Below are 14,214 nucleotides of genomic sequence, written 5' to 3' on the forward strand. Positions count from 1 at the left end.
AAAGAGTGATTCACAAATCAGGCAGCCTCCCGACCCAGAGTGGACTCAGAGACTCCAGCACAGCCATGTGGTGGAAGAAAATTTAAGACCGAAAAAGGAAAGAGATGTACAGAAAATGGAAATGAGGTACGGAAACAGCCAGATTTGTTAAGCTTGGGGTTTGCAGTAGTTGAACATGGTTGAAGAGCTGGCCACCTTAGATTGGCCAAAACTCAGCGATTGGCACAAGAGTAGGCTACGGTCTGTTTACAATTCCATTTAGGTTACTGTTCGTGATGTACAGAGAAAGCTTTAGGTCGAAATTAAAATACACAAGGAGGCAGCTTTAGGCCACACTTGATTTGAAAGCTAGAGAGGTCTGGTGGAGGCTGCATTCTCCTCTCCAGGAAGTACATTTGTGGGCTGCTAAGCCACAAGATAAGGAAGAACACAAGACAGCTAGAGAAGGCCACGAGCTGGACCCAATACCCACATATTCAGGAGTAAACACTGGTGCTGTGAAAGGGTCAGTGCCTCCATAAACGTCTCCACAGACATAGAGCTCTGAGCGGACACGGACCACTACACACAACAGAGCTACACACAACAGAGCTTGACAAGCCACAGAGCTCCACAAACCGCAGAGCTCTCTACAGACACAGACATCTCCTCACCACAGAGCTTTCCAAACCAAAGAGCTCTCCACATACACAGAGCTCTCCACACCACAGATCTCTCCACAGACACTGAGCTCTCCTCAACACAGAGCTCTCTACTGACACAGACATATTTATAGACACAGATCTCCACACAAGACTCTCCACACCACGGAGCACTCTACACTACAGAGCTCACCAGACCACAGAATTCTCCACAGACACAGAGCTCTCCACGCTACAGAGCTCTCCAAAGACACAGAACTCTCCACACCAGAGAGCTCTCCACAGACAGAGTTCTCCACACAACGTAGCTCTTTACAGACACAGAGCTCTCCACACCACTTAACTCTCAACAGTCACAGAAATCTCCACACCACAGAACTCTCCTCAGTCACAGAGCTACCCACACCACATAGCTCTCTGCACTACAGAGCTTGCCACATTCACAGACCTCTCCACCAACACAGAGCTCTCCAGACACACAACTCTCCATACAACAGAGATCTCCACAGACACAGAGCTTGCCACACCACAGAACTCTCCACAGAAACAGAGATCCCCACAGCGCAGAGTTCACAGACACAGGGCTCTCCACACCACTGGGTTCTCCACAGACATAGAACTCTCCACAGATACAAAACTCCCCACAGACACAGGACTCTCCACAGACACAGAGCTCTTCATAGACGCAGAGCTCTCCCCACCACAGAGCTCTTCAGACCACACACCTCTCCATAGACACAGAACTTTCCACAGACTTAGAATTCTCCACAGACACAGAGATCCCCACACCACATAGTTATCCACACTACAGAGCTCTCCACAGACGCAGAGCTCTCCACAGACACAGGACTGTCCACACCACAGAGCTCTTCAAACCATGGAGCTCTTCACACTGCAGAGCTCTCCACACCACAGGGCTCTCCACAGACACTGAGATCTCCTCAATACAGAGCTCTCCACTAACACAGATCTATTTACAGACACAGATCTCCACACCACAGAGCTGTCCACACCACAGAACTCTTCACAGACACAGAGCTCTCCACATACATGGAGCTCTCCATAGACACAAACCTCACCACATACACAGAGCTCTTGACACCACAGAGCTCTCTGCAGACAAAGAGCTCAACACACCACAGAGCTCTCCACACCACATAGTTCTCCACATACAGAGAGCCCTCCACATACACAGAATTCTTCACATACAGAGCTCTTCACACCACAGAGCTCTCCAGATAGAGAGTTCTTCACACCACAGAGCTCTTCACACCATAGAGCTCTCTACAACACAGAACTCTTCACACCGTGGAACACTCCACAGACACAGAGATCACCACACCACAGAGCTCTCCACAGACACAGAGATCCCCACACCACATAGTTATCCACACTACAGAACTCTCCACACCGCAGAGCTCTTCACAGACATACAGCTCTCCACAGACACAGGGCTCTCCATACCACTGAGCTCTCCACAGAAAGAACTCTTCACAGACATAGAGTCTCCACATCACTGAGCTCTTCACAGACACAGAACTTTCCACAGACACGAGACTCTCCACAGACACAGAGGTCTCCACACCATAGACCTCTCCACACCACAGAGCTCTTCACACCACAGAGTTCCTCATACCACAGAGCTCTCCACAGACACAGAGCTCTCCACAGACACAGGGCTCTCCACACCACAGGGCTCTCCACAGACACTGAGATCTCCTCAACACAGAGGTCTTCACTGACACAGATCTATTTACAGACACAGATCTCCACACCACACAGTTCTCCACACCACAAAGCTCTCCAAAGACACACAGTTCTTCACACCACAGAGCTCTCCGCAGACACACAGCTCTCTCTACAGACACACGTCTCTCTACAGACACAAACCTCTTCACATACATGGAGCTCTTCACACCACAGAGCTCTTCACACCACAGAGTTCCCCACATTAAGAGAGCTCCCCACATCACATCACAGAGTTCTTCACACCACAGAGCTCTCCACGTAGGAAGTTCTTCATGCCTCAGAGCTCTTCACAGCACAGACCTCTCAACATACACCGAGCTCTCCAGACCACAGAACTCCCCACATCACGGAACTCCCCACATACCCAGAGCTGTCCACATCACAGCGCTCTGTACACCACTTAGCTCTCCACAGACACAGAGCTCGCTACAATACAGAGCTCTCCAGACCACAGAATTCTCCAAATACACAGAGCTTTCCACACCACAGAACTCTCCACACCACAGAGCTCTTCACACCACAGCGCTCTCCTCACCATAGGGCTCTCCACAGACACAGGGGTGTCCACTCCACAGATCTCTTCACACCACAGAGCTCTCCACATACACAGAGGTCTCCACACCACAGAGCTCTTTACTGACACAGAACTCTCCACACCACAGCAATCTCCACAGACACAGAGCTCTTCATACCACAGAGCTCTTCACATACACAGAGCTCTTCACATACGCAGAGCTCTCCACACCACAGAATTCTCCATAGACACAGAACTCGCTCTCCACACAACAGAGCTCTTCACACCACACAGCTCTCAGTGTACACAAAGTTCTTCACACCACAGAACTCTACTTGCCACAGAGTGCTCCATAGACACAGGGCTCTCCACACCACAGAGCTCTACACACTAAAGAATTCTCCACAGACAGAGCGCTCTACACTCCACAGAGCTCTCCAGAGACACAGAGCTCTCCACACCACAGAGACTTCCATATCACAGAGCTCTCCACAGACATAGAGCTCTCCACAGAGATGTCCGCACAGCAGAGCACTCCACATACACACAGCTGTTCACACCACAGAGATCTCCAGACCACAGAATTCTCCATAGACACAGAAGGCTCTGCACACACAGAACTCTCCACACCACAGAGCTCTTCACATATGCAGAGCTTTCCACAGATAGAGCTCTCCACAGAGATGTCCACACAACAGAGCTCTACAGAGCTGTTCATGCCACAGAGATCTCCAAACCACAGTTCTCCATAGACACAGAACTCTTGACATACGTGGAGCTCTCCACATTACAGAGCTCTTCACATATGCAGAACACTTCACACCACAGAGCTCTCCAAACCACAGAGCTCTCCCCAACAAAGCTCTCCACAACACAGAGCACTCCACAGACACAGAGCTCCCCACACCACAGAGCTCTCCACACCACAGAGCTCTCCACATACACAGAACTCACCACAGACACAGAGCTCTCCACACAACAGAGCTCTCCACAGTCACAGAGATCTCCACCACAGAGCTCTCCACATGCCCAGGGATCTCCACACCACAGAGCTCTCCACATCACAGAGCTCTCCACATACAGAGTCTAGCTCTCCACACCACAGAGCTCTTCACACCACAGAGTTCTTCACATACACAGAACTCTCCACAACACAAAGCCCTCAACAGACAGCGCTCTCCACACCACAGAGCTCTCCACATACACAGAGCTCTCCACATACACAGAGCTCACCACAGACACAGAGCTCACCACAGACACAGAGCTCTCCACATACACAGAGCTCACCACAGACACAGAGCTCACCACAGACACAGAGCTCTCCACATACACAGAGCTCACCACAGACACAGAGCTCACCACAGACACAGAGCTCTCCACATACACAGAGCTCACCACAGACACAGAGCTCACCACAGACACAGAGCTCTCCACATACACAGAGCTCACCACAGACACAGAGCTCACCACAGACACAGAGCTCTCCACATTCACAGAGCTCTCCACACCACAGAGCTCTCTACATACACAGAGCTCTCCACATCACAGAACTCTCCACATACAGAGAGCTCTCCACAAACACAGAGCTCGCCACACCACAGAGATCTCTAAACCACAGAGCTGTCCACATACAAAGAGCTCTTTACACCACAGAGATCTCCACACAGCAGAGGTCTCCACAAACACAGAGCTCTCCACACCACAGAGCTCTTGACACCACAGAGCTCAACACACCAAAGAGCTTTCCACAGACACAGAGCTCTCCACAGACACAGAGCTCTCCACAGACACAGAGCTTCCAGACCACAGAGCTCTCCACAACACGGTTTTTCACACCACAGAACTCTTTATACCACAGAGCTCTCCACAGACACAGAGCTCTCAAGGCCACAGAGCTGTCCACACCACAGAGCTCTCCACAGACACAGAGCTCTCCACATACACAACTTTCCACGCCACAGAGGTCTCCACATACAGAGCTCTCCACAGACACAGAGCTTTCCACACCACAGACACCCATGTACTTACCCCTAGGTCTGACTCCCCTTAGCATAGACCCCCAACACTTAAATTTTCTGCACTCACACTGGCAGCTGTGACTTCAGCGGCACTGATGCCCTCTACACTGACCCCCTCATCAATGACATTTGCAGCACTGACCTTCCCAGCACTGACCCCTCTAGCACTGACCCCCTGCACTGACCCTTTTTGCACTGACCACTGCCTGCAATGAGCACCCCTCCCCTGATACCACAGCACTGACACCCATACGACCGACCTCCCCAGCAGGTACATCTCCTGCACTGACCTCCACAGCACTGACACCCCCAGCACTGACTCCCCCAGCACTGACACCCTCGGCACTGACACCCCCGGCACTGGCACCCCCGGCACTGACACCCCCAACACTGACACCCCAGCACTGACACCCCCAGCACTGACCCCCCAGCACTGCTCCCTCAGCACTGATCCCCCCAGCACTGACACCCCAGCACTGACCCCCCAGCACTGCTCCCTCAGCACTCATCCCCCCAGCACTGACATCCCCAGCACTGACCCCCCAGCACAGCTCCCTCAGCACTGATCCCCCCAGCACCGACGTCCAAGCACTGACTTCCCCAGCACTGACCTCCCAGGTACTGACAACCCAGGTACTGAGCCCCCATCACTGACACTCCAGCACTGACCCCCCACCAGAATTGCTCCCTCAGCACTAATCCCCCCACCACTGATGCCCCCAGCACTGATGCCCCCAGGTATGGGTATGACACCCATACAACTAACACCCCAACACTGACACTGCCAGCACTAATGTCCCCAGCACTAACAGCCCTGCACTGACACTCCCAGCACGAACACCCCAACACTGAGACCCCCAGCACTCATACCTCCAGCACTGACAGCCCTGCACTGACACTCCCAGCACTGACACCCTCAACACTGAGACCCCCAGCACTCATACCTCCAGCACTGACACCCTCAACACTGAGAACCCCAGCACTCATACCTCCAGCACTGACACCCCCACCACTGAGACCCCCAGCACTCATACCTCCAGCACTAACAGCCGGGCACTGACACTCCCAGCACTGACACCCCCACCACTGAGACCGCCAGCACTCATACCTCCAGCACTGACAGCCCCAACACTGAGACCCCCAGCACTGAGACCCCCAACACTGACACCCCCAGCACTGACACCCCTAACACTGAGACCCCCAGCACTGACACCCCCAGCACTCATACCTCCAGCACTGACAGCCCCAACAGTGAGACCCCCAGCACTTATACCTCCAGCACTGACACCCCCAACACTGAGACCCCCAGCACTGACACCCCCAGCACTGACACCCCCAGCATTCATACTTCCAGCACTGACAGCCCCAACACTGAGACCCCCAGCACTGACACCCCCAACACTGAGACCCCCAGCACTCATACCTCCAGCACTGACACCCCCAACACTGAGACCCCCAACACTGAGACTCCCAGCACTCATACCTCCAGCACTGACAGCCCTGCACTGACACTCCCAGCACTGATACCCCCAACACTGAGACCCCCAGCACTCATACCTCCAGCACTGACACCCCCAACACTGAGACCCCCAACACTGAGACCCCCAGCACTCATACCTCCAGCACTGACAGCCCTGCACTGACACTCCCAGCACTGACACCCCCAACACTGAGTCCCCCAGCACTCATACCTCCGGCACTGGCATCCCCAACACTGAGACCCCCAGCACTAACACCCCAACACTGACGTCCCCAGCACTGACACCCCAACATTGACGTCCGCAGCACTGACACCCCTGGCACTGAGACCCCAGCAGTGACAGCCCCTGCTGTCAATACATAACAGTAATTTGTTATTTATTTATTCTTGGTTAGAACTCACAGAATAGTACAGAGAACAACATAGAACCTCTAGGTACTCACCACCTAAATCCCAAACACAGTATTTTTCCACACTTCTTTATTTTCTGAAATACACAAGGCTGTTCACCCTGGCCTGGGGAGGGTTGTGGAGCCTGTGTTGTTGGAGCAAAGGTTGTTAACTATTCTGAGTGTTATCTCTTTTTTCTATCTATCACATATACATTGAAACGCTTCCATCCTTTTCCTCAAGCCAATGCCCCCACTCTCCGAGGAGACTCTGCTCTGAGTTCGGTGTGTGGAGTTGGGTGACGTTTGGAAAGACAGCATGCTACACATAATGTAAATGTAACTACTTATGTTTCCAGAAATAAACTTCAGTATTTTATGCCCTAGTTGAATCTTGAAATAATACAATTGAAGTTCAAGCTTGAAATGCTCTAAAAAGTTTGAAAAGCTAAGTTCAACTGTACAATTTGAAGACTTCTCCAGTGCTGAGGCTTAGCTGTTCACCCTGACCTGGGGAGGGTTGTGGAGCCTGTGTTGTTGGAGCAAACGTTGTTAACTATTCTGAGTGTTATCTCTTTTTTCTATCTCTGCTGGCCTGTGTTACTCTCCGGCTCTGCCTAGGGAAGCTGAGCTTAGGATGGGTTAAGGGAACAACTGGACGGAAAGCCCAGGTAGGAAGCAGCAGGAAGTTACTGAGCCCATGATGCAGGGCTCAGGGGAGTGGCCTCGGTGGGCAGGGCTTGGGGGAGCAGCCTCGTTGACACAGGGCTCAGGGGAGTGGCCTCGGTGGGCAGGCTGCACACCTGTACTTCTGGGGGCTGTTAGAGGCCGCTGGGCAGTTGCTGCAGCTGAACCAGACATGAGAGAGGCTTTCACTGGTCAAAGGCTTGGGAGGACACCGGGGTTTCCCCAGGCCTTGCACGTGCAGATCAGCTGGCGTGAGCCCTGTGGATAATGAGACTCTCTGATGCTGATCTTCCCGCGGGTGGAGCACCAGACACAGATTCTAGGCGTGGTTTCCCCCAGTTTGTGTTCAGCCAAGGAGAGGCCCTGGCCTCTGGGATCCCGGGAAAGCATATCCTGCAGGGAATTAATCCCAGGGTCTCAGGTCGCGTTATGATTCACTCGCTGGATAGTTAAACGACCCAGATTCAAAAGGGGCAGCTCAAACCTTTGCCCCCTGGGAACAAAAGCAGGAGATTAGCTCTGTGTTATCAATCAGCATTGTCAGGACAGAATGAAAAAGGCTAACTTTAAAGGCTTCACCTGTTGAGGCCTTAGTCAGAGCCTGGATGGGAATCAAAGGTCATTCCTGCCCAAGGTTTTGTCTCAAGTCCTCAAATGGGTAGCACTGAATTACCTTTAAAAATGGCCTCAAAGGACCGGAGATGAAGCATGGATTAGTGTCTTAATCTTAATAGCACGAGGCCTGTAGTTAGGGTCCAGGGAACTTGGGGGAAGAGGTGGCATTGTCCTGGGCCGTCCCTGGCATGCGGTGCTATTAGAGGTGGGCTGGGGTGAGGGTGGGCTTTGTGCCTCTGGACAGGACCCTTTCACCGGCTTTGGGGGCGTTCTCACAGAGCTTTGCCAGCTGACTTAGCGTTGGCCCTCTGACAATGGGATTTGTCAAGACCAGATGAATGAAATCTTAGGCTCAGACGGGGAAAGGCAGGTATCCTGCTCTGGTATTTATGTGAGGAGCAATGTTGGGCCAGCCTGAGCTGTGGGGCTGGAGAAGACCCCAAATGCCAAAATATGATCTGGTTTCTCTGCCACCCCTCATCCCCCTTTAGTGCCACCGGGGACAACCAAATCTGATCAGAGGCCGCCTGTTTCTGCCTGTGGGTCCTCTACCCAGCTGCAAGAGTGGTTTCTATACTGATGTGGACCCCAGCCTGCCTGCTGTGAAGCTGCCTTCAGCACAGAAGGGGAGGTTGGGGCTGGCCTCTGAGGAGTGACCTGGCCGAGCCCACTGTCCACCAAGGCCTCAATGCCTTCCCTGCCACGTAGGGTCCCCGTTTCTGCCTGGCGGCATGAGGCTGTGCCGGGCCTGTCATCGCAGATCGTGGGCAAGAGCTGCCTCAGGGTGGAAGAGACTGCACAGAGCTGTCCCTGAGTGGCCTCTGGCTAGGACAGGACCTGCAAGGGGAACAGCCTCACTTCCTTCTCCCTGACCATTCCGTCCATACTCAAAGCCGACTCCCTTCCTCCCTCTCCAACCCACTATGTGCTGTGGATGGGCTGTGGCTTCACTGGGCACCCCCATCTGCTGCCTCTATTGTTCCCCATCCCCAGCCAAGTGGGTCTTGTTTTCCTTCACTGCAGGCAGAACTCGAGCCTGTGCTGTGCCCTGATGAGTGGCTCCCCTTCTTCCTGGGCCGTTCCATGGGTGTGCCTTTGCCACGCTCAACCTTCCCACCCCGACGCAACATTGATCCCCAAGTCAGGGTGGGCTCGGGACCCCTCAACTTTCCCCTGTGCCCCTGTGCATTTCATGGGCAAATCAAACCTTTTCAAACTCTCGCCTCCACAGGTCCCCAGGGGTGGACACTCCAAGGTCCCCGTTGCTCCTGTCCTCTGCCAGCCGCCTCACCGCCTAAATCAGTGGCCCAGCCCAGGCCATTACCACAAGGCTAGCTGGCCTCGATGTCAGCACCTACCTTTCTGAGGGCGACTTTCTGAGGCTCCAGGCCCCAGCAGGTGGGATTTCTCTTTCCATCCGCACCCCGACGGCATCGTGCTGGCTGTTCAGTGTGGCGGCCGCAGCTGGTGTCCAGCTACAGCCCACGGAGCCAGGGACAAACCTGGGTTTAGTCAGGATGCCGGTGGGGTTGCCTCGCCTCTGTGCGTGGAGAAGTTACTGCCAGTGTCCCGATGCGGGAATCCTTCCAGGAATGCTCTCACCTGTAAAAATGTAGAAGTTCAATAACAAAATATGAAACTGCAGGAAATGGGTTTGAGATACCTATACGATAAAAACAGATTTATGTAAAACTTATTAGAGGAAAAGCTGAATTAGCTTTCTCTTCTCTTAATAGAAAATGATATATCAGCAGGGTGCATTGGCTCACGCCTGTAATCCCAGCACTTTGGGAGGCTGAGGCGGGCGGATCACTTGAGGTCAGGAGTTTGAGACCAGCCTGGCCAACATGGTGAAATCCCGTCTCCACTAAAAATACAAAAATTAGCTGGGCATGGTGGCTTTTGCCTGTAATTCCAGCTACTCGGGAGGCTGAGGCAGGAGACTCACTTGAACCTGGGAGGCGGAAGTTGCAGTGAGACGAGATTGTGCCACTGCACTCCAGCCTGGGCGAGAGAGCAAGAATCCATCTGAAAAAAAAAAAGAAATGATATATCAAAATTGTCACACATAAAAGCAGTCAAAGGTGTGAGAAAGTGTAGAAAAAGAGCTGGAGAAATGAGGCAGTGTCAGGCAGGTGACTGAAAACACTGATTTTGGATTCTGTGATGTCTGTGGCTTTGCCCGATTTTTCAAGTATGTAATTTGCTTCCATCTCCCTTCTCCTTTCGAATGTGCGTGGAGGGACTCCTTTTCTTGAATAACTCCCCCCCACCAACCAATCCCATTATAAAACCACCAGGCTTCGCAAGGCCTAGTTCTGCCCCCATCTTTATCTCACTTTAGAAGACTTCCCCTGCTCTTGGCTTGAACAATGACGTCTTTTTCTGGGCTCACAAATCTATTTCTGGAATAAACTTCTCCCTGGTGATTTGTCCTTTATTTCCCACTTTCTAGGTTCTCATTCTAATAATTTAATAGGGTTATGTTGATGGTTAATGGTGACATTTGGCCACGGAGGAATACTGATATTTTAAACAGAGATTCAGCAACATTCATAGAATATTTTACCCAACAAATTTGGAAGCATCTTCACAAACATTAGCTTTGAGAAATGTTTTCTAAATTTGATTCTTAGCCAAGTGGTGGAAGGTAGAGGTAGCTTCGGGTGATCCTTAGAAAAAGGTATTTCTGGAGGCTGAGGACAGAAGGGCCTTATTCAAATGATTGTTCTGATCTAAAGCCAGATACAAAAGCCAGTGTAGGAAAGAAAGGGAACTGCCAAGAATGTGTCTGATACTTTCAGACAATCTCTATGCATTTGGGGTCTGGAGAAAAGGAAAGAAAGACACCTTTACAAGAGTCAAACCTAAAAGGGGGACACTAATCCCACAGTTGCCAGCTCCCCCTGGCAGCACCTGTAGCCTCTTTAGTGTCTGGGACAACAGGCCGGCACTGGCCTTGGGTCGGCTGAGGATGGCTGAGAACAAAGGCTCCCACCTCTGCTTGGAGCCCTTGGTGGCTCGTGAAGCTCTTCACGTGGTGCCTGGTGACCAACCCTGGGACCCCAGGCAACTTCATGCCAACCACAGGCCACAGTGATACATGGAAGGACGCTCTAGCACCTTTAGGCCACGCCAATGGAAGGAGGGGTCCTCCCGCACCTGCAGACCACGCTGATGGATGAAGGGGTTCTCCCATACCTGCAGACCACCCTGATGGATGGAGGGGTCCTCCCGCACCTGCAGACCACCCTGATGGATGGAGGGGTTCTCCCGCACCTGCAGACCACCCTGATGGATGGAGGGGTCCTCCCGCACCTGCAGACCACACTGATGGATGGAGGGGTTCTCCGGCACCTGCAGACCACGCTGATGCATGGAGGCGTTCTCCCGCACCTGCAGACCACGCTGATGGATGGAGGGGTTCTCCCGCACCTGCAGACCACGCTGATGGATGGAGGGGTTCTCCTGCACCTGCAGACCATGCTGATGGATGGAGGGGTTCTCCCCCACCTGCAGACCACGCTGATGGATGGAGAGGTTCTCCCGCACCTGCAGACCACCCTGATGGATGGAGGGGTCCTCCTCCACCTGCAGGCCATGCTGATGGATGGAGGGGTCCTCCTGCACCTGCAGGCCATGCTCTGTGTGTGTGTGTGTGTTTTAACTTTGTTGTTTTTGTAAATGGACAATGTGTAATTGTCTATATTTACGGAGTACAAAACAATGATACAATTAATACAATGTGGAATAATTCAATGAAGCTAATTAGCACATCCCTCACCTCAAATACTTAACACTTTTTTGTGGTGAGAACATCTGAAGTTTATTCTCTTTCTCTTTTTTTCTTGATTTTTTAAAAAAGTTTTTATTTCAATAGGTTTCTGGGAAACAGGTGGTGTTTGGTTACATGGATAAGTTCTTTGGTGGTGATTTCTGAGATTTCGATGCACCCATCACCCGAGCAGTGTACACTGTATCCAATGTGTAGTCTTTTATCCCTCATCCCCCTCCCACGCTTCCCCCCTTGTCCCCAAAGTCCATTGTATCATTCTTATACTTTTGCGTCTTCATAGCTTAGATCCCACTTATGAGTGAGAACATACGATGTTTGGTTTTCCATTCCTGAGTTACACTTAGAATAATGGTGTCCAGTTTCATCCAGGTTGCTGCAAATGCCGTTATTTCATTCCTTTTTATGGCTTAGTAGTATCCTATGGTATACATGTACCACAGTTTCTTTATCCATAATGGGCATCTGGGCTGGTTGCATATTTTTGCAATTGTGAATTGTGCTGCTATAAACATGCATGTGCAAGTATCTTTTTGGTATAATGACTTCTTTTCCTCTGGGTAGATAACCAGTAATGGGATTGCTGGATCAAATGGTAGATCTACTTTTAGTTCTTTAAGGAATCTCTACACTGTTTTCCATAGTGGTTGTACTTGTTTACATTCCCACCAACAGTTTAAAAGTGTTCCCTTTACACGACATCCATGCCAACCTCTTCTTCTCTATTTTTTTTTATTTTTTTGATTTTTTGATTATGGCCACTCTTGCAGGAGTAAGGTGGTATGGCATTGTGGTTTTGATTTGCGTTTCCCTGATAATTAGTGACATTGAGCATTTTTTCATGTTTGTTGGCCATTTGTATATCCTCTTTTGAGAATTGTACGTTCATGCTCTTAGCCTACTTTTTGATGGGATTTAATTTTTTTCTTGCTGATTTGTTTGAGTTCCCTGTAGATTCTAGATATTAGTCCTTTGTCAGATGTATAGTTTGTGAATATTTTCTCCCACTCTGTGGGTTGTCTGTTTACTCTGCTGATTAAAAAGCTTCTGCAGAAGGTTTTTAGTTTAATTAAGTCCCATCTATTTATCCTTATTTTTGTTGCATTTGCTTTTGGGTTCTTGGTCATGAAGTCTTTGCCTAAGCCAACGTCTAGAAGGGGTTTTCCGATGTTATCTTCTAACATTTTTACGGTTTCAGTCTTAGATTTAAGTCTTTGATCCATTTTGAGTTTGTTTTCATATAAGGTGAGAAATGAGGATCCAGCTTCATTCTTCTATATAAGGCTTGCCAATTATCTCAGCACCATTTCTTGAATAGGGTATCCTTTCCCCACTTTGTGTTTTTGTTTGTTTTGTCAAAGATCACTTGACTGTAAGTATTTGGCTTTATTTCTGGGTTCTCTATTCTGCTCCTTTGGTCTAAGTGCCTCTTTATACCAGTACCATACTGTTTCGGTGACTATAGCTTTACAATATAGTTTGAAGTCAAGTAATGTAATGCATTCAGATTTGTTTTGTTTGTTTGTTTGTTTGTTTTTGCTTAGTCTTTCTTTGGCTATGCTGGATCTTTTTTGGCTCCATATGAATTTCAGGATTGTTTTTTCTAGTTCTATGAAGAATGATGGCGGTATTTTGATAGGAATTGCATGAATTTGTAGGATTGCTTTTAGCAGTTTGGTCATTTTCACAATACTGATTATACTCATCCATGAGTATGGGATGTGATTCCATTTATTTGTGTCACGTATAATTTCTTTCAGCAATGTTTTGTAGTTTTCCCTGTAGAGGTCTTTCACCTCCTTGATTATGAATATTCCTAAGTATTTTATTTTATTTTATTTTGCAGCTATTGTAAAAGGGACTGAGTTCTTGATTTGAATCTCAACTTAGTTGCTGTTGGTGTAGAGCAGTGCTACTGATTTGTGTACATTAATTTTGTATTCTGAAACACTACTGAATTCATTTATTAGTTCTAGAAGCTGTTTGGATGAGTCTTTAGGTTTTTCTAGGTATATGATTATATCATTGATGAACAGTGACAGTTTGACTTCCTCTTTACCAATTTGGATGCACTTTATTTCTTTCTCTTCTCTGATTGCTCTGGCTAGGACTTCCAGTACTATGTTGAATAAAAGTGGTGAAAGTGGGCATGCTTGTTTTTCCCAGTTCTTGGGGGAATGCTTTCAACTTTTCCCCATTCAGTATAATACTGGCTGTGGGTTTGTCATAGATGGCTTTTATTTCTTTAAGGTAGGCCTTTTCTATGCTGACTTTGCTGAGGGTTTTAATCATAAAGCGATGCTGGATTTTGTCAAATGCTTTTTCTGC

The sequence above is a fragment of the Homo sapiens genome, chromosome 6 (genome assembly GCF_000001405.40).
Source record: "Homo sapiens chromosome 6, GRCh38.p14 Primary Assembly".
NCBI lineage: Eukaryota > Metazoa > Chordata > Mammalia > Primates > Hominidae > Homo > Homo sapiens.